Raw genomic sequence first — 23,247 nt, 5'->3', positions numbered from 1 at the left:
TACAGTAAACAAACAAACATATCTTTGTGCTGTAATTTGTTACCAAAATATTCTTTGTGGGATTGTGGGATTTCCACTGCTTTTTTTTCTTCTCTCTCTCTCTCTCTCTCTCTCTGTGTGTGTGTGTGTGTGTGTGTGTGTGTGTGTGTGTGTGTGTGGTATGTTCTCCAGTCTCCAGAGATGTAGATTAGAATTTTAAATTAAAATGTTCAGATAACTAGTTACAATCAAATTTATCCCCAAGAGTGGAAGGAAAGTGCAATGGAGAAATTGTTTTGTAAATTAAAGACATTACTGCACAAGCCTAACATGATGTTACTGGGGATTTTAATGTTTTTACCTGCATTCAGATTAAAAGTCATCAGTTTTCCCTGTCATCAACAATTTATTTATTCATCCATTCTATTTTTATATTTTTATGGATTGATATACCCAACACTATACTAATTAACCCAATTTACAAGATAATCTATAATCTTATTTAGGTTAGAAGGGTTTTTTGGCAAATGTTCACTCTAGAAAACTGAGTTGTAAGAATATGGGTGATCTCAAATTTGTTTCTGTGTGTGTAAAAGGAAAGGCTTCATATCTAAAATGACTTTACCTCAGTATACTAAATTGTTTGAGGGTAATGAATGAGAAGAACACAACTGTAAAAGGGCCAAGGACAGAGGGATGGGCAAATGAAGGAAAGGCAGAGAGGGAGACCAAGAGCTGAGGGGGAAAATTCTGTGGAGGGGTGTGGGAAAGGGGTGGAGCTGGCACCCTTGCCTTAAAAGCTGAGTGATAGCCCAAGGGATACAAAAGACCGCTTGAGCCGGGTAGGGAAAGCAGCCTAAAGCCCGGGACAGGCACACAGGCCCAGGTGTGTAGGCCACAGCAGCTGCAGTCCTGAAAGGCTGCAACGTCCCGACCTCCAGGAGAGACCAGGCCCAGGATGCCTCGCCTGTTTTTTTTCCACCTGCTAGGAGTCTGTTTACTACTGAACCAATTTTCCAGAGCAGTCGCGGACTCATGGATGGAGGAAGTTATTAAATTATGCGGCCGCGAATTAGTTCGCGCGCAGATTGCCATTTGCGGCATGAGCACCTGGAGCAAAAGGTCTCTGAGCCAGGAAGATGCTCCTCAGACACCTAGACCAGTGGCAGGTGAGAGCTCCCGCCCCCTCCCGGCCTTCCCGCGCTTCCCATTGGTTACTCTGGGGCGGCCGCCCAATTGGAACGGCGGCCTGCACGTCCGACTCGAGATCTCATTGGCTGCCACCGCTCAGCCCCTACTCAGCCGTGGCTGGTCCCTAAAGTTTGGGCTTTTCCTTTGCCAGGTGATTTTATTCAAACAGTCTCACTGGGAATCTCACCGGACGGAGGGAAAGCACTGAGAACAGGAAGCTGCTTCACCCGAGAGTTCCTTGGTGCCCTTTCCGTAAGGCAGTCAGAGCGACGGGGTGGAAAGGGAGGGGAAGCCTCAGAGGAGGTGACGCCGCCCGGAGACCCGCAGGAGGCCGGGCGCACTCCTGCACCCCACAGGAAAGCCAGGCGGCCAGACAGCGGGCGTGCTGGTGGGGGCACCTGAACAGGGCTTCTCGGATAGAGAGGAGAGGGGACAAACACTGAGGCGGCGCGCTAGTTATCAAGCCTGTTTGCGCGCCTGTAGGACGGGGCAACACTCTGAGGTCTCTGTGAGGGTCCCGTGATGGGAAGACAGGAAGGGCCTTACACTTAATGACTCTCCTAGTCCAGAAGTTGGGCTGTGGCCTTTGCCATTGGAAACGTTCTTTAAAATAAACAAACAGAAAATCCCAAAGGAAAGAGTCTGACCTCCCGCTTCTTTGATCTGGGTATTGAAGTTCATTTGTGAGGCAGGGGATGGAAGAGAAAGGAAAGGCTTGAATGCCTTTAGGAGAAACTCAAGAGGACCAGAGACAAGGAAAGCAGGCCGTTCAGACCATCATAGCTGAAGACCCTACTGATGCTTTCAAGCATTTGGAAGCTGCAGTGGGTTTGCTTTAAAGGCAAGCTCTTAGAGTTGAGTACAGCTCAATCTGAAATGGCTTTTAAAAATATTTTAGTATTTATAAAGTAGCAGTGGAAACTCATGGAGGTATATACTAGTCTAAGAAGTGTAACGGGTCATATTAAATTCAGAGAAAGTAACCGCAGTTGCAAATACTAAGTGTTTTGTATTAGTATGACATGTAATTTATGATAAACCGCAACTAAATTTTATAGGCTATATGCATATACTATATATAAATGACTCTAACAGAAATACATTTACTTCTCTTTTATGAGATTTAAAGTATGCTTCTAAAGTTATTTACTTTTCTACATTGTTAGAGTTTGATTTATTTAATGGCAGTTTTTACATGACTTTTGTATAACATTAGTACAAAAATACCACAACGTCTAGGAATTTAGTGATAAAAAGTAGAGAAGACCGGATTGCATTGCATTTGCTTTATTATTCCACATTTTCTGACTATAAAAGTAGTAATGCTCATATTAAAGACAAATGTACATTAATGCAGCGTGAAAAATGAGAAGCACTCGTAGATATTAAGGACTTTGAAAAGTATATGTGAATTTTATGAGAAAATGAAATTATATTAAACAAGTAAGTGGAAAGAAATGTTAACATTTGGATAGGTATATGTATATATCTTTTGCATTTTCACTCACCATTATACTTTGAGCAGTTTCTCACATTGTTATTATCCCAAAACACAATTTGAAATTCCTGTGTAGTATTTTTTGTCATAAATCTGCCACATACACTTAAGGATTCTTTGGTGGATATTTAGTTTATTTCTAAATTGTTGCTGAAAATACTTCATTAAGCACATTTGTATATAGATATGGCTACATTTTTATTTCCTTTGAAGAGACATGAGATTACAAAGTATTTTTAAAGAATTTTCTTTATTGATGTGCAGTATAATTTAACTGAAAGTAACCTCAGAAAATATTGCCTGCAGGTGGAGATTAAGACAAATGTTTACCATTACTAGGTAGGAATCGTTTTGGAAGTACATGTCAGTAATTTGTGATTAATTTGAGTTTTCAGACTTCTACTGTTAGGTAGTTGCTATTTGCTTCCACATTATTACATTGTTAGCCATCCATTTCATCCTACAATATGTGCTAAAATCATATTCACTGCATCCCTTTTAAAAATAAGATACCCTTTAAACCAGAAGAGGCCTATTTTAGTGAGATTTACATCCAAAATAATAAGTGAATAAGGGTATTTGTATGAATTCAGACAGAATATTTTCTTTGAGCCTAGGTTCCATAGCTAAAGGTGTTATGGATTATGAAATATTTCAAAACAGGTTTAAAAATATAATTTTAATAAAAGTATAAAATACACAGCCTATGAACAAACCTAATACAAACTATAACTGTTTTGGCTGACTCATTTAACTGGCTTTAAGTATATAGAAAATTACCATCAGCTTCTTTCAGTATTTAATAAGGCCCCAACTACAGAAAGTTTAGGTTGGATCAAAGAGAGGTTTTTATGATGAAATTGAATTAAACTTAGGATGTCTTACTGAGGGGAAATGCCAAAACCTCTCATTTAACCAAAAACGATATAAATTCTCATCTGTCATTTCCAGTTTAGAACATGAATGAGGGAGAGTGTTGGGAGGAAGGATGAAATACTACAGTTTGTTTTTTTTTATTCCTCTGTCAAACTCCAATTGTTGAATTTTTTTGTTGGCTAGAAGGGGAACAACTGAATCTCTTGCCAGAAAACTCAGGAAATGATCAGCCCCAGAACCACCGCTGTCTAGGTGAAGGGTCGTGGTTTCCTCTGATCAGCAGGCATCAGTGGTTAACCAGGTGTCTGCCTCCCGCACTTAGATTTACTCCCCTCTTCTCTTTATTTTCATTATTTCAAGAGTAATGCCTTGTTAATGGAGAGTTTTCCTGTCCAGGAAGAAGAGCAGCAAGACCTGATATGGGTTTTCACTGTAATTTAAACATCATCGTGTTTCTAATTTCTTTGTGAAATAAAACTATTAAGTTGTATAATTAGGACAGTTAAGGTTAGGAGAGGGTTTAACTCACTGTAAGCTTTTTGAGAGCAAGAAACATTTAAATAAATTTATATCTTTTAACTGGCAGTGCCAGAGACATGGAAACAGGTAATGAATGTTCAACTGAGCTGAATGGGTGCAAAGATGGAGGAAGATGTCAGCTGGGTGTCCAGCAGGTTCCCAGCCCAAGTCCCAGCCTTCACATTTGGCCAGCCTGGGATGCTGTGTAAGAACAGGCTCCCTTCCTAGGAGACACACAGATCTTGCATAGTGCATGATCTGCAGCTTTGGAACAAATATCAAACAGAAAACATTAGTCAGTACACATACTCCACAGCAGATACAAATCTCTTCTTAAATCAGTGATTTTTGGTTAGTGTTCTTTTAACCCACTTCTCTCTTTCATATAAAATACTATTGTTTTGGAGTAAATACTCTGGGGAAGACAAATTGTTAAATAGATGGTTAAGGAACATCAGAGACTTCTTTCTCCTGCTGATTAGATCAGAGGTGTTGGAAATTCTGCCTCTTTAACTTTATCCTCCAGGAGTAACTTCCCACCATGAAATATTCAATAGCTTAAAGTAATATCTTTTTCAAGGGTTACTATTACAACTCATAATATCATAAATCATAGCAATGGAAGAAAATGACTTAACTAAGAAGAATCCAAGAAAATGACCACTAGCTGTGGTCAAACTGTTTTCAGTGACTTACATGACTTCAGAAAGATGACAGATTAATGTCAGGGAGAGTCAAAAGTACTATGATAAAAGCACTGAGGGGATCATGAAGAGAGACGAGAGAGGACCAATGGGGTAAAGCAGAGCCTTGGTAAAATTATGGTACTTTAAGGTGTCCAACTGTAAGTAAGCTAAGTGTTTAGATATTAGGATGCTTGCTTATTTTGTTTCAATGTTTAATTTATACTGAGGCAATGCTTTTTTGTCTATGCAAACATTCATAGTTTTTCTGAGTGCTCTTTGACATGAATATACCCTCACATACACCTTTTTTTTTAAATTTAACAGAAATTGTGCCATCCTTCATCAACAAAGATACAGAAACCATAAATATGATGTCAGAATTTGTTGCTAATTTGCCACAGGAGCTGAAGTTAACCCTGTCTGAGATGCAGCCAGCATTACCACAGCTACAACAACATGTACCTGTATTAAAAGATTCCAGTCTTCTCTTTGAAGAATTTAAGAAACTTATTCGCAATAGACAAAGTGAAGCCGCAGACAGCAGTCCTTCAGAATTAAAATACTTAGGCTTGGATACTCATTCTCGAAAAAAGAGACAACTCTACAGTGCATTGGCTAATAAATGTTGCCATGTTGGTTGTACCAAAAGATCTCTTGCTAGATTTTGCTGAGATGAAGCTAATTGTGCACATCTCGTATAATATTCACACATATTCTTAATGACATTTCACTGATGCTTCTATCAGGTCCCATCAATTCTTAGAATATCTAAGAATCTTTGTTAGATATTAGGTCCCATCAATTCTTAGAATATCTAAACATCTTTGTTGATGTTTAGATTTTTTTATTTGATGTGTAAGAAAATGTTCTTTGTGTGATTAAATGACACATTTTTTTGCTGAAAAGCCTTTTTGTCTTTTTATTAACAGCATGATTATGTTGTGTTATTCTTTTTAATGCTGTTAACTTAAAATTACAATAAAACCTCTACCGCTTTAACCATACGTAGTAACAATACAGTTGTTACAATACCTAACACCATATAGTAGTAACAATACCTAACACCAGTTACATGAAATGGACCAAAATGTTTTATTGATATTAACTCTTAGATTGGATATAGATAAAGCCATAAAACTTGACCTTTCCTAATAGATTACAAAAGGTTTTTGTGTCATATTGAAATACTCATTGCAAACAATCGGATTGGACACTAAACCAATGTAATTTAGTTAAGACCATATAAACTCAAACGCTTTTTTTTCCTTTTTAATTTCCTTTTTTTCTAGTATAGTCTGAAGGGAACTCAAGTACTTTTCAAGCTAGGGTTCTGTTCTCAGTTCCAGTGTCTAAGAAACTTAAAAGTAAATTATTTTTTAAGGATAAAAAGGAATAGACATAATATAGAACAGAACAAACAAGTCCATATCATATATTACAGAAGAAATAGTATAATGAAGGAACATAATTTATGTTCACTTCTTTAGAATTTGCAAACTATTTCTGTAAGCAAAATTACTGAAATAGTATGAACACTTGTTAGAAAAGTAAACTGACGTAGTTATCAACTTAGTATTTTACTGGTTCTGTCTATTTTTTTTCTTTTTTAAAAATTATACTTTAAGTTCTTGGTTACATGTGCAGAACGTGCAGGTTTGTTACATAGATATACATGTTCCATGGTGGTTTGCTTCACCCATCAACCCATCACCTACAGTAGGTATTTCTCCAATGCTATCCCTCCCCTAGCCCCCCACCCCCAAACAGGCCACGGTGTGTGATATTCCCCTCCCTGTGTCCATGTGTTCTCATTGTTCAACTCCCATTTATGAGTGAGAACATGTGGTGTTTGGTTTTCTGATCTTGTGATAGTTTGCTGAGAATGATGGTTTCCAGCTTCATCCATGACCCTGCAAAGGACATAAACTCATCCTTTTTTATGGCTGCATAGTATTCCATGGTGTATATGTGCCACGTTTTCTTAATCCAGTCTATCATTGATGGACATTTGGGTTGGTTCCAAGTCTTTGCTATTGTGAATAGTGACGCAATAAACACATGTGCAAATGTCTTTATTGTAGAATGATTTATAATCCTTTGGGCATATGCCCAGTAATGGGATTGCTGGGTCAAATGGTATTTCTAGTTCTAGATCCTGGAGGAATCACCACACTGTCTTCCACAGTGGTTGAACTAATTTACACTCCCACCAACAGTGTAAAAGCATTCCTACTTATCCACAGCCTCTCCAGCATCAGTTGTTTCCTGACATTTTAATGATCGCCATTCTAACTGGCATGAGATGGTATCTCATTGTGGTTTTGATTTGCATTTCTCTAATGACCTGTGATGATGAGTATTTTTTCATGTCTGTTGGCTGCATAAATGTCTTCTTTTGAGAAGTATCTGTTCATATCCTTTGCCCACTTTTTGATGGGGTTTTTTTTTTTGTGAAGTTGTTTAAGTTCTTGGTAGATTCTGGATATTAGGCCTTTGTCAGATGGACAGATTGCAAAAATTTTCTCCCATTCTGTATGTTGCCTGTTCACTCTGATGATAGTTTCATTTGCTGTCCAGAAGCTCTTTAGTTTAATGTGATCCCTTTTGTCAATTTTAGCTTTTGTTGCCATTGCTTTTGGTGTTTCAGTCATGAAGTCTTTGCCCATGCATATGTCCTGAATGGAATTGCCCAGGTTTTCTTCTAGGATTTTTATGGCCCTAGGTCTTACGTTTAAGTCTTTAATCCGTCTTGAGTTGATTTTTGTATAAGGTAAGGAAGGGGTCCAGTTTCAGTTTTCTCCATATGGCTAGCCAGTTTTCCAAACACCATTTATTAAATAGGGAATTCTTTCCCCATTGCTTGTTTTTGTCAGGTTTGTTGAAGATCAGATGGTTCTAGATGTGTGGTTTATTTCTGAGGCCTCCATTCTGTTCCATTCATCTATATATCTGTTTTGGTACCAGTACCATGTTGTTTTGGTTATTGTAGCCTTGTAGTATAGTTTGAAGTCAGATAGTGCGATGCCTCCAGTTTTGTCCTTGTTGCCCAGGATTGTCTTGGCTATGCGGGCTCTTTTTTGGTTCCATATGAAGTTTAAAGTAGTTTTTTCCAATTCTGTGAAGAAAGTCAATGGTAGCTTGATGGGGATAGCATTGAATGTATAAATTTCTTTGGGCAATATGGCCATTGTCATGATATTGATTCTTTGTATCCACGAGCATGGAATGCTTTTCCATTTGTTTGTATCCTCTCTTATATCCTTGAGCAGTGGTTTGTAGTTCTCTTTGAACAGGTACTTCACCTCCCTTGTAAGTTGTATTCCTAGGTATTTTATTTTCTTAGTAGCAATTGTGAATGGGAGTTTACTCATGATTTGGCTCTCTGTTTGTCTGTTATTGGTGTATACGAATGCTTGTGATTTTTGCACATTGATTTTGTATCCTGAGACGTTGCTGAAGTTGCTTATCAGCTTAAGGGGTTTTTGGGCTGAAACAATGGGGTTTTCTAAATATACAGTCACGTCATCTGCCAACAGAGACAATTTGACTTCCTCTCTTCCTGTTCGAATACCTGTACTGCTTTCTCTTGCCTGATTGCCCTGGCCAGAACTTCCAGTACTGTGTTAAATAGGAGTGATGAGTGAAGGCATCCTTGTCTTGTGCCAGTTTTCAAAGGGAATGCTTCCAGCTCTTGCCAATTCAGTATGATATTGGCTGTGGGTTTGTCATAAATAGCTCCTATTATTTTGAGATATGTTCTATCAATACCTGTTTATTGAGTTTTTAGCATGAAGTGGTGTTGAATTCTATTGAAGGCCTTTTCTGCATCTATTGAGATAATCGTGTGGTTTTTGTCATTGGTTCTGTTTATGTGATGGATTATGTTTATTGATTTGTGTATGTTGAACCAGCCTTGCATCCCAGGTATGAAGCCAACTTGGTCATGGTGGATAAGCTTTTTGATGTGCTGCTGGATTCAGTTTGCCAGTATTTTATTGAGGATTTTCTCATTGATGTTCATTAGGGATATTGGCCTGCAATTTCCTTTTTTTGTTGTATCTCTGCCAGGTTTTGGTATCAGGATGATGCTGTCTTCATAAAATGAGTTAGGGAGGATTCTTTCTTTTTCTATTGTTTGGAATAGTTTCAGAAGGAATGGTACCAGCTCCTCTTTGTACCTCTGCTAGAATTTGGCTGTGAATCCATCTGGTCCTGGACTTCTTTTGGTTGGTAAGCTATTAATTACTGCCTCAATTTCTGACCTTGTTATTGGTTTATTCAGGGGTTCAACTTCTTTCTGGCTTAGACTTGGGAGGGTGTTTGTGTCCAGTTATTTATCCATTTCTTCTAGATTTTCTAGTTTATTTGTGTGGAAGTGTTTATAGTATTCTCTGATGGTAGTTTGTATTTCTGTGAGATCAGTGGTGATATCCCCTATGTCATTTTTTATTGTGTCTATTTGATTCTTCTCTATTTCTTCTTTATTAGTCTGGCTAGCGGTCTATCTATTTTGTTGAGTTTTTTCAAAAAACCAGCTCCTGGATTCATTGATTTTTTGAAGGGTGTTTCATGTCTCTATCTCCTTCAGTTCTGCTCTGATGTTAGTTATTTCATGTCTTCTGCTAGCTTTTGAATTTGTTTGCTGTTGCTTCTCTAGTTCTTTTATTTTTAATATTAGGATATCAATTTTAGATCTTTCCTGCTTTCTCTTGTGGGCATTTAGTGCTATAAATTTCCCTCTACACACTGCTTTAAATGTGTCCCAGAGAGTCTGTTACTTTGTGTCTTCATTCTCATTGGTTTCAAAGAACATTTTTATTTCTGCCTTCATTTCATTATTTACTCAGTAGTCATTCAGGAGCAGATTGTTCAGTTTTTTTGTAATTGTGTGGTTTTGAGTGAGTTTCTTAATCCTGAGTTCTAATTTGATTGCACTGTGGTCTGAGAGACTGTTTGTTATGATTTCCATTCTTTTCTATTGGCTGAGGAGTGTTTTACTTCCAATTATGTGGTCAATTTTAGAATAACTGCGATGAGGTGCTGAGAAGAATGTGTATTCTTTTGATTTGGGGTGCAGAGTTCTGTAGATGTCTATTAGGTCCGCTTGGTCCAGAGCTGAGTTCAAGTCCTGAATATCCTTGTTAATTTTCTGTCTTGTTGGTCTGTCTAATATTGACAGTGGGGTGTTAAAGTCTCCCACTATTATTGTGTGGGAGTCTAAGTCTCTTTGCGGGTCTCTAAAAACTTGCTTTATGAATCTGGGTTCTTCTGTATTGGATACATATATATTTAGGATAGTTAGCTCTTCTTGGTGAATTGATCCCTTTACCATTATGCAATGCCCTTCTTTGTCTCTTTTGATCTTTGTTGGTTTAAAGTCTGTTTTATCAGAGATTAGGATTGCAACTCCTGCTTTTTTTTTTTTTTTGCTTTCCATTTGCTTGGTAAATATTCCTCCATCCCTTTATTTTGAGCCTATGTGTGTCTTTGCACGTCAGATGGGTCTCCTGAAGACAGCACACTGATGGGTCTTGACTCTTTATCCAATTTGCCAGTCTGTGTCTTTTAATTGGGGCATTTAGCCCATTTACATTTAAGATTAATATTGTTATGTGTGAATTTGATCCTGTCATTATGATGCTAGCTGGTTGTTTTGCCTGTTAGTTGATGCAGTTTCTTCATAGCATCGATGTTCTTTATAATTTGTCATGTTTTTGCAGTGGCTGGTACCAGTTGTTCCTTTCCATGTTTAGTGCTGCCTTCAGGAATTCTTGTAAGGCAGGTCTGGTGGTGACAAAATCCCTCAGCATCTGCTTGTCTGTAAAGGATTTTATTTCTCCCTCCTTTATGAAGCTTAGTTTGGCTGGATATGAAATTATGGTTTGAAAATTCTTTTCTTTGAGAACGTCGAATATTGGTCCCTACTCTTTACTGGCTTGTAGGGTTTCTGCAGAGAGATCCACTGTTAGTCTGATGGGTCTCCCTTTGTGGGTAACCTGACCTTTCTCTCTGGCTGCCCCAATATTTCTCTCTGGCTGCCCTTAACATTTTTTCCTTCATTTCAACCTAGGTGAATCTGACAGTTATGTGTCTTGGGGTTGCTCTTCTCAAGGAGTATTTTGTGGTGGTCTCTGTATTTCCTGAATTTGAATGTTGGCCTGTCTTGCTAGGTTGGGGAAGTTCTGGATAATATCCTGAGATGTGTTTTCCAACTTGGTTCCATTCTCCCCTTCACTTTTAGGTACACCAATCAGACGTAGATTTTGTCTTTTCACATAGTCCCATATTTCTTGAAGACTTTGTTCATTCCTTTTTATTCTTTTTTCTCTAATCTTGTCTTCTCTCTTTATTTCAATGAGTTAATCTTCAATTACTGATATCCTTTCTTCCATTTGATCAATTCAGCTATTGGTACTTGTGTATTCTTCACAAAGTTCTCGTGCTGTGTTTTTCAGCTTCATCAGGTCATTTATGTTCTTCTCTACATTGATTATTCCAGTTAGCAATTCAACTAACCTTTATTCAAGGCTCTTAGCTTCCTTGTATTGAGTTAGAACATGCTCCTTTAGCTTGGAGGAGTTTGTTATTACCCACCTTCTGAAGCCTACTTCTATCAGTTTGTCAAACTCATTCTCCATCCAGTTTTGTTCCTTGCTGGCAAGGAGTTGTGATCCTTTGGATGAGGAGAGGCATTCTGGTTTTTGGAATTTTCAGCCTTTTGCACTGGTTTTTCCCCATCTTTGTGGATTTATCTACCTTTGGTCTTTGATATTAGCGACCTTCAGATGGGGTCTTTGAGTGGGTGTGCTAATCCTTTCTGTTTATTTCTTTTCCTTCTAACAGTCAGGCCCCCTCTGCTGCCAGTCTGCTGGAGTTTGCTGGAGGTCCACTCCCAGTCCTGTTTGCCTGGGTATCACCAGCAGAGACTGCAGAGCAGCAAAGATTACTGCCTGTTCTTTCCTCTGGAAGTTTCGACCCAGAGGGGCACCTCCCAGATGCCAGCCAGAGGTCTCCTGTATGAGATGTCTGTTGGCCCCTATTGGGAGGTGTGTCCCAGTCAGTATACATAGGGGTCAGGGACCCACTTGAGGAGGCAGTCTGACCCTTAGCAGAGCTTGAACGCTGTGCTGGGAAGTCCACTGCTCTCTTCAGAGCCATCAGGCAGGGATGTTTAAGTATGCTATAAGCCCCTGACTGGGGCTGCTGCCTGTTTTACAGAGATGCCCTGTCCAGAGAGGAGGAATCTGGCAGTCTGGCCATAGCAGCCTTGCTGAGCTGCAGTGGGGTCTGCCCAATTTGAACTTCCCAGTGGCTTTGTTTACACTGTGACCATAAAGCTGCCTACTCAAGCCTCAACAATGGTGGATCCCCCTCCCCCAACCAAGCTCGAATGTCCCAGGTGGATCTCAGATTGCTGCTGTGTTGGCAGCGAGAATTTCAAGCCAGTGGATCTTAGTTTCCTGGGCTCTGTGTAGGTGGGACCCGCCAAGCCAGATCACTTGGCTCCCGGCTTCAGCACCCCTTTCCAGGGGAGTGAACAGTTCTGTCTCGCTGGCATTCCAGGCACCACTGGGGTATGGGGAAAAAAAAAAAAGATCTCCTGCAGCTAGTTTGATGTCTGCCCAATTGGCCGCCCAGTTTTGTGCTTGAAACCCAGGGCCCTGGTTGGGTAGGCACCAGAGGGGATCTCCTGGCTTGCAGGTTGCAAAGACCATGGGACAAGCACAGTATCTGTGCCGGAGTTCCTCAGGCTCAGACCCTCATGGCTTCCCTTGGGTAGGGGAGAAAATTCCCTCACCCCTTGTGCTTCCCAGTTGAGGTGATGCCCTGCCCTGCTTCGGCTTGTCTTCCGTGGGCTGCACCCACTGTCCAACCAGTCCCAGTGAGATGAACCAGGTACCTCAGTTAGAAATGCAGAAATCACCCATCTTCTGTGACAATGTCACTGGGAGCTGCAGACCAATGCTGTTCCTATTTGGCCATCTTGAATCCTCCTCCTTGGTTCTGTCTATTTATATACACATGCATTTTAGCCAGCATTTATAGAAGAAATGCAGTTCAATGACAACTGCATTTATCTCCTCCATCAAATGTCTGTAAACAATTTTAAGAAATGAAGATAGTAATTCCTGCTTTTCAAATTCCCATACATAACTAATAATAACCAAGTCTCTAGGATTTATTAATTCCTCACCAAGGGTACCTTGCAAAGCTTCATAAATGACTGCAAAACCTCACAGATCATAATCCACCTCAGATGAAGCAAGGAAGAGTGCTGTCTGATATGGAGATTCCAACCTAGAAGAATGAGGACAATGCCCAGGAAACTTACAGCTCTTACAGGACAGAGAGGCACCTCCAGACACAGAAGGCTGTTACCCAGACCCTGTCTGAGCCCATGTTTCACATCTGCTCCTTCACAAATTCCATGGAGGCAGAGTCACTGAATTAGAAGCCATATTTACTGCTTCTGATGGTATGTCCGCTTTTTGAGTGGTTCAAAGATAATTTATGGTTAACTGTCTACTACAAAAATGTAAATAATTACTTCAACCTTTAAAATGTATATTTCAAGTGCTACTAAAGTCCACCTAAAACTGTCATGAAAAACTTGTAAGTTTAACTTATGTCTCAAATAAAACATTTACTCTATTGATACTATGTATCAGTTAAGACTGTGTTCTCTGTAAATAACAGAATACCCTACAAAAGTAGCTTCTAAGAGGCCCATGGAGTAAGTAAGTATCTGCCCCTGTTTAGCCTCTGAATGCTACCAGCAGGCTCCTCCCAACTTTCCAGTCACCTGTGCCTAGCATAGAGGCCTTCCTCCTTATGCTCCCTACCACATGGTGGGTCCCAAGATGGCTGCTTCCTCTTCCTTTCTCGGTCTGCATTTCAGGCAGGAAAGAAAGGGGGAAACAAGAGGGCTTAATGCCTAGAAGAGAAAAGCAAAGGCTTTTCCAGAAACCTCACTTGTGCTCATGGTATGTTGGCAAGAGCTGTGTCATATGGACACTGCTACCTGCAAGAAACATTGAGAAATCGTATCTAGCACTTATAGCCTCAAGAGTTTAGATAGTCTAGGGAGAAGTTTCTAGAAAAAGAGGTTGGCATAGTTAACTTATAGATGCACTCACGCTCTCTGTTCTTGTATCCGTAATTACTGTCTGAAAGACTTTCATGTTTGTCTATTACCCTTCACCATTAGATTGACTTCAACTGCAGGTAAATCCATGGGATATTGTGGAAAAAAGAAAGACCTTTTTGGAATCCGGTGGACATGGGTAGAATTGTAGCCTCGGCACTTACCAGGTGTATGTGTAGACATATTTTTTTTCTCTTTAAAAAGGTGTTTGTTTCTTTTGACAGAAAATACTTATATTTGTTTTTAAATTAATAAAATCATTTTTAAAAGTAATTTTAGGTTTACAGAAAAATATAGTAGAAAGTAGAGTCACTTCCCATATGGCTCCTCACCTCACCACAAAAACAGTTTTAACTATAAATAACACCTTGCATTAGTGTGGTACTTGTGCAGCAACTGAACCAATATTGATATATTATTATTATTAATTAAAGCCCATAGTTTACATTAGAGTTCACTCTTTGGATTTTACTGTTTAGAGTACACTCTATGGATTTTTAAAAATTAATTGACTTTTGAAAGTAGTTTTAAGTTCACAGGAAATTTAAGTAGAAAATACAGAATGTTACTGCATACTCCCCCAACCATATCCCCTTACCGCAGTCCACATCATCTGTAAGTTTGTTACATGTGGTACCTTTGTTACAGCTGATGAAGGAACCTTGACATTATTATTAATCAAAGCCCATAATTTACATTACGGTTTACTCTTTGTATTTTACATTCTATGGGTTTTGACAAATGTCTAATGATATGTATCCTCCTTATAGAATTATTCAAAATAGATTTTACTGCCCTAAAAATTCCTTATGCTCCCCCTGTTCATGCCTCTCTCTCCCCAAATCCCTGACAATCACTGATCTTTTTCCTGTCTCCATGGTTTTGCCTTTCCAGAACCTCATACAGGTGTAATTATACGTGATACAGCCTTTTCAGATTGGCTTCTTTCACTTAGTAATATGCTTTTAAAGTTCCTCAGTGTATTTTCATGGCTTGTTCACTCTTTCCTTTTAGCACTGAATAGTATTCCTTGTCTAAATGCACCACAGTCTATTTATTCATTCACCTACTTAAAGTCATTTTGGTTGCTTCCAGGTCTGGGAAATTATGAATAAAGCTGCCATACTCACTCATGTGCAGGTTTTTATGCTGAAATAAATTTTCAGCTCACTTGGGTAGATACCAAGAAATGTGATTGCTAAACCACATGGTAAGAATATGTTTAGTTGAAAAAATCCTGCTAAACTGTCTTCTAAAATAGCTGTATCATTTTGCATTTCTACCAACAATGAATGAGAATTCCTGTTGCTCCATGTCCTCATCAGCATTTGGTGTTGTCAGCATTTTGGATTTTAGCCATTCTAATAGTTCTGTAAAGATATCTCATTGTTGTTTTAACTTACAATTTGCAAATGATATAAGATGTTGAAATTTTTTTTCACTTGCTTATTAGCCATCAGCATATCTTCTTTGGTAAAGTATTTCTTCAATTTTTTGCCCATTTTAAAATTGGGATTTTTCACATCAAAAAGCTAAAAAGATCTCAAGTCAACAATCGAACATCACAACTAAGAAAACTAGAGAACCAAGAGCAAACAAACCCCAAAGGTAGCAGAACACAAGAAATAAGCAAGATCAGAGCTTAACTGAGGGGGATTTGTCTCTATAAGAAAAACCCTTCAAAACAACAAATCCAGAAGCTGGTTTCTTGAAAAAATTAATAAAATAGATAGACCACTAGCAAGACAAATAAAGAAGAAAAGGGAGAGAATTCAAATAAACACAATCAGAAATGATAAGGGGGATATCACCACTGACCCCACCGAAATACAAACAACCATCAGAGATTACTACAAACACCTCTGTGGACATAAACTAGAAAGTCTAGAAGAAATGGATAAATTTCTTGACACCATACGCCCTTCCAAGACTGAACCAGGAAGAAATTGAATCCATAAATAGACAAACAGTTCTGAAATTGAGGCAGTAATAAATAGCCTACCAACAAAAAAAAGCCCAGGACCAGATGGATTCACAGTTGAAGTGTACCAGAGGTACAAAGAAAAGCTGGTACCATTTCTACTGAAACTATTCCAAAAAATTGAAGAGAAGGGACTCCTCCCTAACTCATTCTATGAGGTCCGAATCATCCTGATACCAAAACCTGGCAGAGATACAATAAAAAAAGCAAACTTCAGGACACTATCCTTGATGAGCATCATTGCAAAAATCCTCAGTAAAATACTGGTAAACGGAATCCAGCAACACATTAAAAAGCTTATCTACCATGATCAAGTAGGCTTCAACCCAAGGATTCAAAGTTGGTTCAACATACACAAATCAATAAACGTAGTTCGTCGCATAAACAGAACTAAAGACAAAAACCAACTGATTACCTCAATACATGCAGAAAAGACCTTCAATAAAATTCAACATCCCTTCATGTTAAAAACTCTCAATAAACTAGGTATCGAAGGAACATACTTCAGAATAATAACAGCCATTTATGACAAAGCCACAGCCAATATCATACTGAATAGGCAAAAGCTGGAAGGATTCCCCTTGAAAACCTTACAAGACAAGGATGCCCTCACTCACCACTCCTATTCAACGTAGTATTGGAGGTCCTAACCAGGGCAATCAGGCAAGAGAAAGAAATAAAGGATATTCAAATAGGAATAGAGGAAGTCAAACTATCTTTGTTTGTAGATGTTACGATCCTATATCTAGAAAACCTCAGTGTCTCAGCCCAAAAGCTTTTTAAACTGATAAGCAACTTCAGCAAAGTTTCATAATACAAAATCAATGTGCAAACATTGCTAGCATTCCTGTACACCAACAGGCAAGCTTAGAGCCAAATCATGAATGAAATCTCATGAATGAGTGAAGTCTTATTCATTCAATGAATGGATTGCTACAGAAGGAATAAAATACCTAGGAATATAGCTAAGAAGCAAAGTGAAAGACCTTTTCAAGGAGAACTATAAACCACTGCTCAAAGAAATCACAGATGACATAAACATGGAAAAATATTCCATGCTCATGGATAGGAAGAATTAATATTGTGAAAATGGCCATACTGCCCAAAGCAATTTACAGATTCAATGCAATTCCCATTAAACTACCACTGACATTCTTCACAGAATTAGAAAAAGGTATTTTAAAGTTCACGTGGAACCAAAAAAGAGCCCAAATAGCCAAGAAAATCCTAAAAAACAAACAAACAAAGAAACAAAAAACAAAGTTGCAGGTATCATGCTACCTGACTTCAAACTGCACTACAGGACTACAGTAACCAAAACAGCATGGTACTGCTACAAAAACAGACACATAGGCCAATGGAAAAGAATAGAGAACCCAGAAGTAAGACCACACACCTACAACCATCTGATCTTTGACAAAACTGACAAATACAAGCAATGGGGAAAGGACTCCCTATTCAATAAATGGTGCTATAAGAACTGGCTAGCCATATGCAGAAAATTGAAACTGCAACCTTTCTTTACACCATGTACAAAAATCAACTCAAGATGGATGAAAGACTTAAATGTAAAATCCAAAACTATAAAAATCCTAGAAGAAAATCTAGGCAATACCATTTAGGACATAGGCACGGGCAAAGATTTAATGATTGCCAAAAGCAAAAGCAACCAATGGGATCTAATTAAACTGAGGAACTTCTGTACACCAAAAGAAGCTATCATCAGCATGAACAGAAAACCTACAGAATGGAAGAAAATGTTTGCAATCTATCCATCTGACAGAGAACTAATATTCAGCATTTGTGAGGAATTTAAACAAATTTACAAGAAACAAACAAACAACCCCAGTAAAAAGTGGGCAAAGGACATGGACAGACACTTCTCAAAAGAAGATGTACATGCGGCCAGCAAACATGAAAAAAAAAATACTCAACATTGCTAATCATTAGAGAAAATGCAAATCAAAACCACAATGAGATACCATCTCACACCAGCCAGAATGGCTATTATTAAAAAGTCAAAAAACAACAGATGCTGGTGAGGTTGCAGAGAAAAAGGAACACTTTTACACTGTGGTGGGAGTGTAAATTAGTTCAACCATTGTGGAAGACAGTGTGGCAGTTCTTCAAAGACCTAGAGGCAGAAATACCATTTGACCCAGCAATCCATTACTGGATGAATACCCAAAGGAATATAAATCATTCTAGTATAAAGATACATGCGCGTGTACATTCATTGCAGCACTATTCACAATAACAAAGAGATGGAGTCAACTTAAATGACCATCAATGATAGACTAGATAAAGAAAATGTGGTACATATACACCATAGAATACTATACAGCCATAAAAACGAATGAGATTATGTCCTTTGCAGGGACAGGGATGGAGTTGGAAGCCATTATCCTCAGCAAACTAATAAAGGAACAGAAAACCAAATACCACATGTTCTCACTTATAAGCAGAAGCTAAATGATGAGAACACATGGACACATGGGGGTTGCAGGGAGCAACACACACTGGGGCCTGTCAGAAAATGGGGGACGGGAGGAGGGAGAGCATCGGAAAGAATAGCTAATGGATGCTGGACTTAATACCTAGGTGATGGGATGATCTGTGTAGCAAATCACCATGGCACATGTTTACATATGTAACAAATCTGCACATTCTGCACATGTACCCCTGAACTTAAAATAAAAGTCGGAAAAAAATTGGGATTTTTTTCCTATTGTTAAGTTTTAAGAGTTCTCTGTGTATTTTGAGTAATTGTCCTTTATCAGATATATTTTGCAAATATTTTGCCCCAGTCTATGGCTTGTCATTTTATTCTCTTGAAGCATATCTTTTGAAGAGTAGAAAGTTATAATTTTAATGTAGTCCAATTTATCAATTTTTGTATTCTCAGACTGTGTTTAGTATTGTATCTAAAGAGTCATTGACAAGCCCAATGTCACTTAAGAGTTTTTTCCTATGTCATCTTCTAAGAGTTTTATAATTTTGCATTTTTTTATTATGATGAAATACCCATACCAAAAATGTGCCATTTTAATTATATTTTAGTGTAAGTTTAGTGGCATTAAGTATGTTCACATTGTTGTACACCATCACCACTATCTATCTCCAGAACTTTTTCATCATCTCAAACTGAAACTCTGTATTCATTAAACATGACATCCCCATTCTGTCACTTCAAGCCCCTGGTAACCACTATTCTACTTTCTGTGTTTGTGAAATTGACTACTCTAGCTACTTCATGTAGATAGAATCATAGAATATTTGTCTTTTTGTGTTTGGCTTATTTCACTTACCATTTTTCAGATTCAGCCATGTTCCAGCATGTGTCAGAAGATCATTCCTTTTCATGGAGGAATAATGTTTCATTATATATATAAATACATGTATTATATAGATATATATACACACACATACACACACACACACACACACACACACACACTACATTTTGTTTATTCATTTGTCCATTGATGGACATTTAGTTTATTTTTATCTTTTTAGTTTTTGTGAATAATGCTGCTGTGAACATTAGTATATAACTATCTGTGCAACTGCCTATTTTTAATTATTTGGAGTACATACCTAGGAATGGAATTGCTGGATCATGTGGTCTTTCTACTTTTAACTTTTTGAGGAACCACCCTACTGTCTTCTCTACCCTACTGTCTTCCACAGAAGCTACACCACTTTACATTTCCACCAATAGTGCATGAATGTTTCAATTTTTCTACATCTCTGACATTTGTTATTTTCCTTTTTGCATTAGAGCCATCCTAATGGACGTGATGTAGTATATCATTGGGCTCTTTTCTTTTTCTTTTATTGTATTATTTTCAATTGACAGATCATAATTATATACATTCATGGGGTATAATGTGATGTTTTGATATATGTATACAATGTGGAATTATTAAATCAAGCTAATTAACACATTCATCACCTTGCTGACCTATCATTTTTTATGAGACACTTGAAATGTACTCTCTTAGCTATTTTGAAATATATTATACATTATTATTGACTATAGACCCCCTGCTGTGCAACAGCTCTTGAAATCTATTCCTCTTGTCATCTGAACCTTTGCACCCTTTGATCAATAACTCCCTATTAGAGAGGAGATGTCATCAAGATGGCTGGCTAGAGGTGCCCAGCATTCACCTTCTTCACAAAGAAGGGCAAAAATAACAAGTATATAACCATACATCAAATAGAGGTTCTAGGGGAGAATAACAGAATTCAGCAAGACTCTTTAAGGCATGGAAACTTGGGATGGCAGCATAGGGAGGTAGGCAAAGCATCTGGTTGGGATCTACTCAGAGCCAAGAAGGACTCTTTATTGCAGGGAAAAGATAAGTGGAAGATCCCGGGAAGTTCATATTCCTACCACAGACACCTGTAATCCTAACTGCAGGAGAGCCCTATAATCCTCACAGGCCTTGAGTTCAGGGTAGAGAGCTGCCTGGAATCCACGTGACTGCATTACTCCAGGGAGGAAATCACACTGATGCTCCCAGAATTTCCAGGACTCAGACTGCTGCAGCATGTGCCATTTTGAGAATGAAACCACTGTCAGAGCACATTCTGCCCAGGGGCCAATGACCCCATACATCTGTACATCCCTAGTGCTTTGCCATTATCCCATCACATCCACGCAAAAGGCTGCAGTACCATGACTCCAGCTGGGCCCAGCAGTGCAGCCATGAACCCATGCACCCGAGCCCACACATCATCACCCGGCATCCCAGGTAACAAGTTAACCAGCACAAGGGGCAGGCTAACCCCAATACAGAAGGAGCTGATGCACATGCTCCCCAGAGCCTGAGAGCTGACCCTCTCGAGCAGGAGAGCCACCGTGCACTTATTTGGACCCACTGGGAGTCCAAGGATCAGACCACTTGGGGTCTGCACCAACTGGTGACACCCCACCCCACAGCAGCGGAGCCTCTTCACACTTTCCCAGGCCTTTAGTTTTTCCTCTTGTCTGATTGCCCTAGCTGGGACTTCCAGTACTGTGTTAAATAACAGGGGTGAAAGTGGGCATCCTTGTCATGTTCCAGATCTTAGAGCAAAGGCCTTCAGTTTTTCCACAGTCAATATTATATTAGCTGTGGGTGTGTTGTACATGTTTTTTTTTCTTCTTCTTTTGGTTTCTTTCAAAATTTTCTGTCTTTGATTTTCTACAGTTTGAATATGTTGTATCTAGCTGTAGATTAGTATTTATCCTCTTTGACATTCTCTGCACTTCCTGGATTTGTGGTTTGGTGTCTGACATTTATTTGGGCAAATTATTAGTCATTATTTCTTAAATGTTTCTCAGTTCTTTTCTCCTTTCCTTCTCTTTGTGGCATTCCTACAATTCATATGTTATACCTTTTGTGCTCGTTCTACAGTTCTTGTATATTGTATTCCATTCTTTAAAGTTTCTTTTTTATTTTTGCCTTATCATTTGAGAGGTTTCTATGACATATCCTTAAGGCCCTGGTACTTTCCTTGACTGCATTCAATCTATGATAAGTGTATCAAAAGCATTTTTAAATTTCTGTTAGTGTTTTAAATTTCTGTCATTTAAAAAATCTTTCTTAGAGCATCTATCACTTTACTTACATTATGCTTCTGTGCATGCATGTAGTCGACTCCATTAGAGACCTTAGTACAGTAATCACAGTTATTTTAAATTCCCAGTCTGATATTTCCAAAATTTCTGCCATATCTGGGTCTGGTCTGATGCTTTTTGTATTTTCAAATTGTATTTTTTGCCTTTTAGTATACTTTGTAATGTTTGTTAAAAGCCAAACATGATGGGTAAAGGACCTGATGTAAATAGGTCTTTGGTATATTTAACTTATGTTGTAGCTGTAAGTCTCAGAGGCTAAAATTCTCTGATGTCTTTGCTTTTGTCTCCCCTGTTATCTTTGAATATTCCCAAAGACTTCTTAAATAAGGTCTGAGGCTTACAGTTCTTTTGCTTGTAAGCCACTGTTATTATTTAGGGTGCAATTGATGTGATTGCAAGGTAGGTGTGTGGGGGGAGGAGATATGGGTTTTATAGTCCTAGAATTAGGTCTCTTATTTTTAGTGAGCCCATTCTGCTTTCTACTTCTATGAGATGTAGAAATACTCTTCAAGATGCCACTTATGAGTGAGATCATGCAATATTTTTCTGTGTCTGACTTATTTCTCTTAATATACAGTCATTGAGGTTTACCCATATTGTCACAATGACGGGAATTTCTCCTTTTTTATGGCTGATAGTATTCCATTGCACATATAAAGTGCATTATCTCTAGTTGATGGACACTTAAGTTGATCTCATATATTGGTTATTATGAATACTGCTAGAGAAAACACGGGAATGCAGATACTTCTTTGATAGTCTGATTGAATTTCTTTTGGATATATGCCCAGTGGTGGACTTGCTAGATTATATAGTGTTATATTTTAAAATTTTTGAGGAACCTCTATACTGTTTTCCATAATGGCTGTACTAATTTACATTCCCACGAACAGTGTGTAATGAAGGACAAAAGGAAACGTTTTTTCTTCTTCTTCACCTTAGCAGGAAATTTTCTAGTATCCAACCATTTAGTACAATATGAACTATGGGTTTTCTGTAGATATTCTTTATCAAGTGAGGATGTTCTCCTCTATTCCTAGTTGGCTGAAAGCTTTTATTATGCACGAGTGTTGGATTTATCAAATGTTTCCTCAGAATTTGTTGATATAATCATGCGATGTTTTCTCTTTAGCCTGTTAGTATGATGTATTGCATAAGTTGATTTTCTTTTTTTTTCACCATTTATTTTTATGTATTTATTGATTTATTTATTCTTTTAGTATACTTTAAGTTCTGGGTTACATGTGCAGAACATGCAGATTTGTTACATAGGTATACATGTGCCATGGTGGTTTGCTGCACCCATCAACCCGTCATCTAGGTTTCAAGCCCTGCATGCATTAGATATTTCTCCTAATGCTATCCCTCCCCTTGCCCCCAACCCCCAACAGGCTCCAGTATGTGATGTTCCCCTCCCTGTGTCCACGTATTCTCATTGTTCAACCCCCATTTATGAGTGAGAACATGTGGTGTTTGGTTTTCTTTTCCTGTATGAGTTTGCTGAGGATGATGGTTCCCAGCTTCATCCATGTCCCTGCGAAGGACACGAACTCATCGTTTTTTATGGCTGCATAGTATTCCATGGTGTATATGTGCCACGTTTTCTTTATCCAGTCGATCATTGATGGACATCTGGGTTGGTTCCAAGTCCTTGCTATTGTAAATACTGCTACAATAAACATATGTGTGCATGTGTCTTTATAGTAGAATGATTTATAATCCTTTGGGTATATGCCCAGTAAT

General features: G+C 38.4%; 1 protein-coding gene across 6 annotated transcripts in view, besides 2 other annotated features; it reads left to right on the top strand.

Moving 5' to 3' along the window:
• Positions 1–5,654, top strand: part of RLN2 (relaxin 2) — a 39,463-nt gene extending 33,809 nt beyond the window's left edge. Inside the window, exons 1-3 of one of the 6 annotated variants that reach the window (NM_005059.4) lie at positions 802–1,148; positions 1,322–1,422; positions 5,074–5,654. In NM_005059.4, the coding sequence (NP_005050.2) occupies positions 938–1,148; positions 1,322–1,422; positions 5,074–5,115 (354 nt within the window). In that variant the 5' untranslated portion in view covers positions 802–937 and the 3' untranslated portion in view covers positions 5,116–5,654. Of the gene's footprint in view, positions 1–801; positions 1,149–1,252; positions 1,423–5,073 lie in introns of those variants that run through there. The other 5 variants (XM_047423707.1, NM_134441.3, XM_047423708.1 and 2 more) reach the window with 5 other exon arrangements.
• Positions 877–926: an enhancer, noted in NCBI's record as "active region_28157". NCBI's record gives its function as "activates an Ori minimal core promoter by ATAC-STARR-seq in GM12878 lymphoblastoid cells {active_cell/tissue: GM12878}" and the evidence as "EXISTENCE:reporter gene assay evidence [ECO:0000049][PMID:35858748]".
• Positions 11,722–12,264: an enhancer, noted in NCBI's record as "H3K27ac-H3K4me1 hESC enhancer chr9:5293254-5293796 (GRCh37/hg19 assembly coordinates)". NCBI's record gives its function as "activates a minimal SCP1, AML or CMV promoter by ChIP-STARR-seq in naive H9 embryonic stem cells {active_cell/tissue: H9 hESC(naive)}" and the evidence as "EXISTENCE:reporter gene assay evidence [ECO:0000049][PMID:30033119]".

Source organism: Homo sapiens, chromosome 9 (assembly GCF_000001405.40).
Source record: "Homo sapiens chromosome 9, GRCh38.p14 Primary Assembly".
Lineage (NCBI taxonomy): Eukaryota > Metazoa > Chordata > Mammalia > Primates > Hominidae > Homo > Homo sapiens.
The sequence above is the reverse complement of the archived record's forward strand: the minus strand, read 5'-3'. Positions and strand labels throughout refer to the sequence as shown.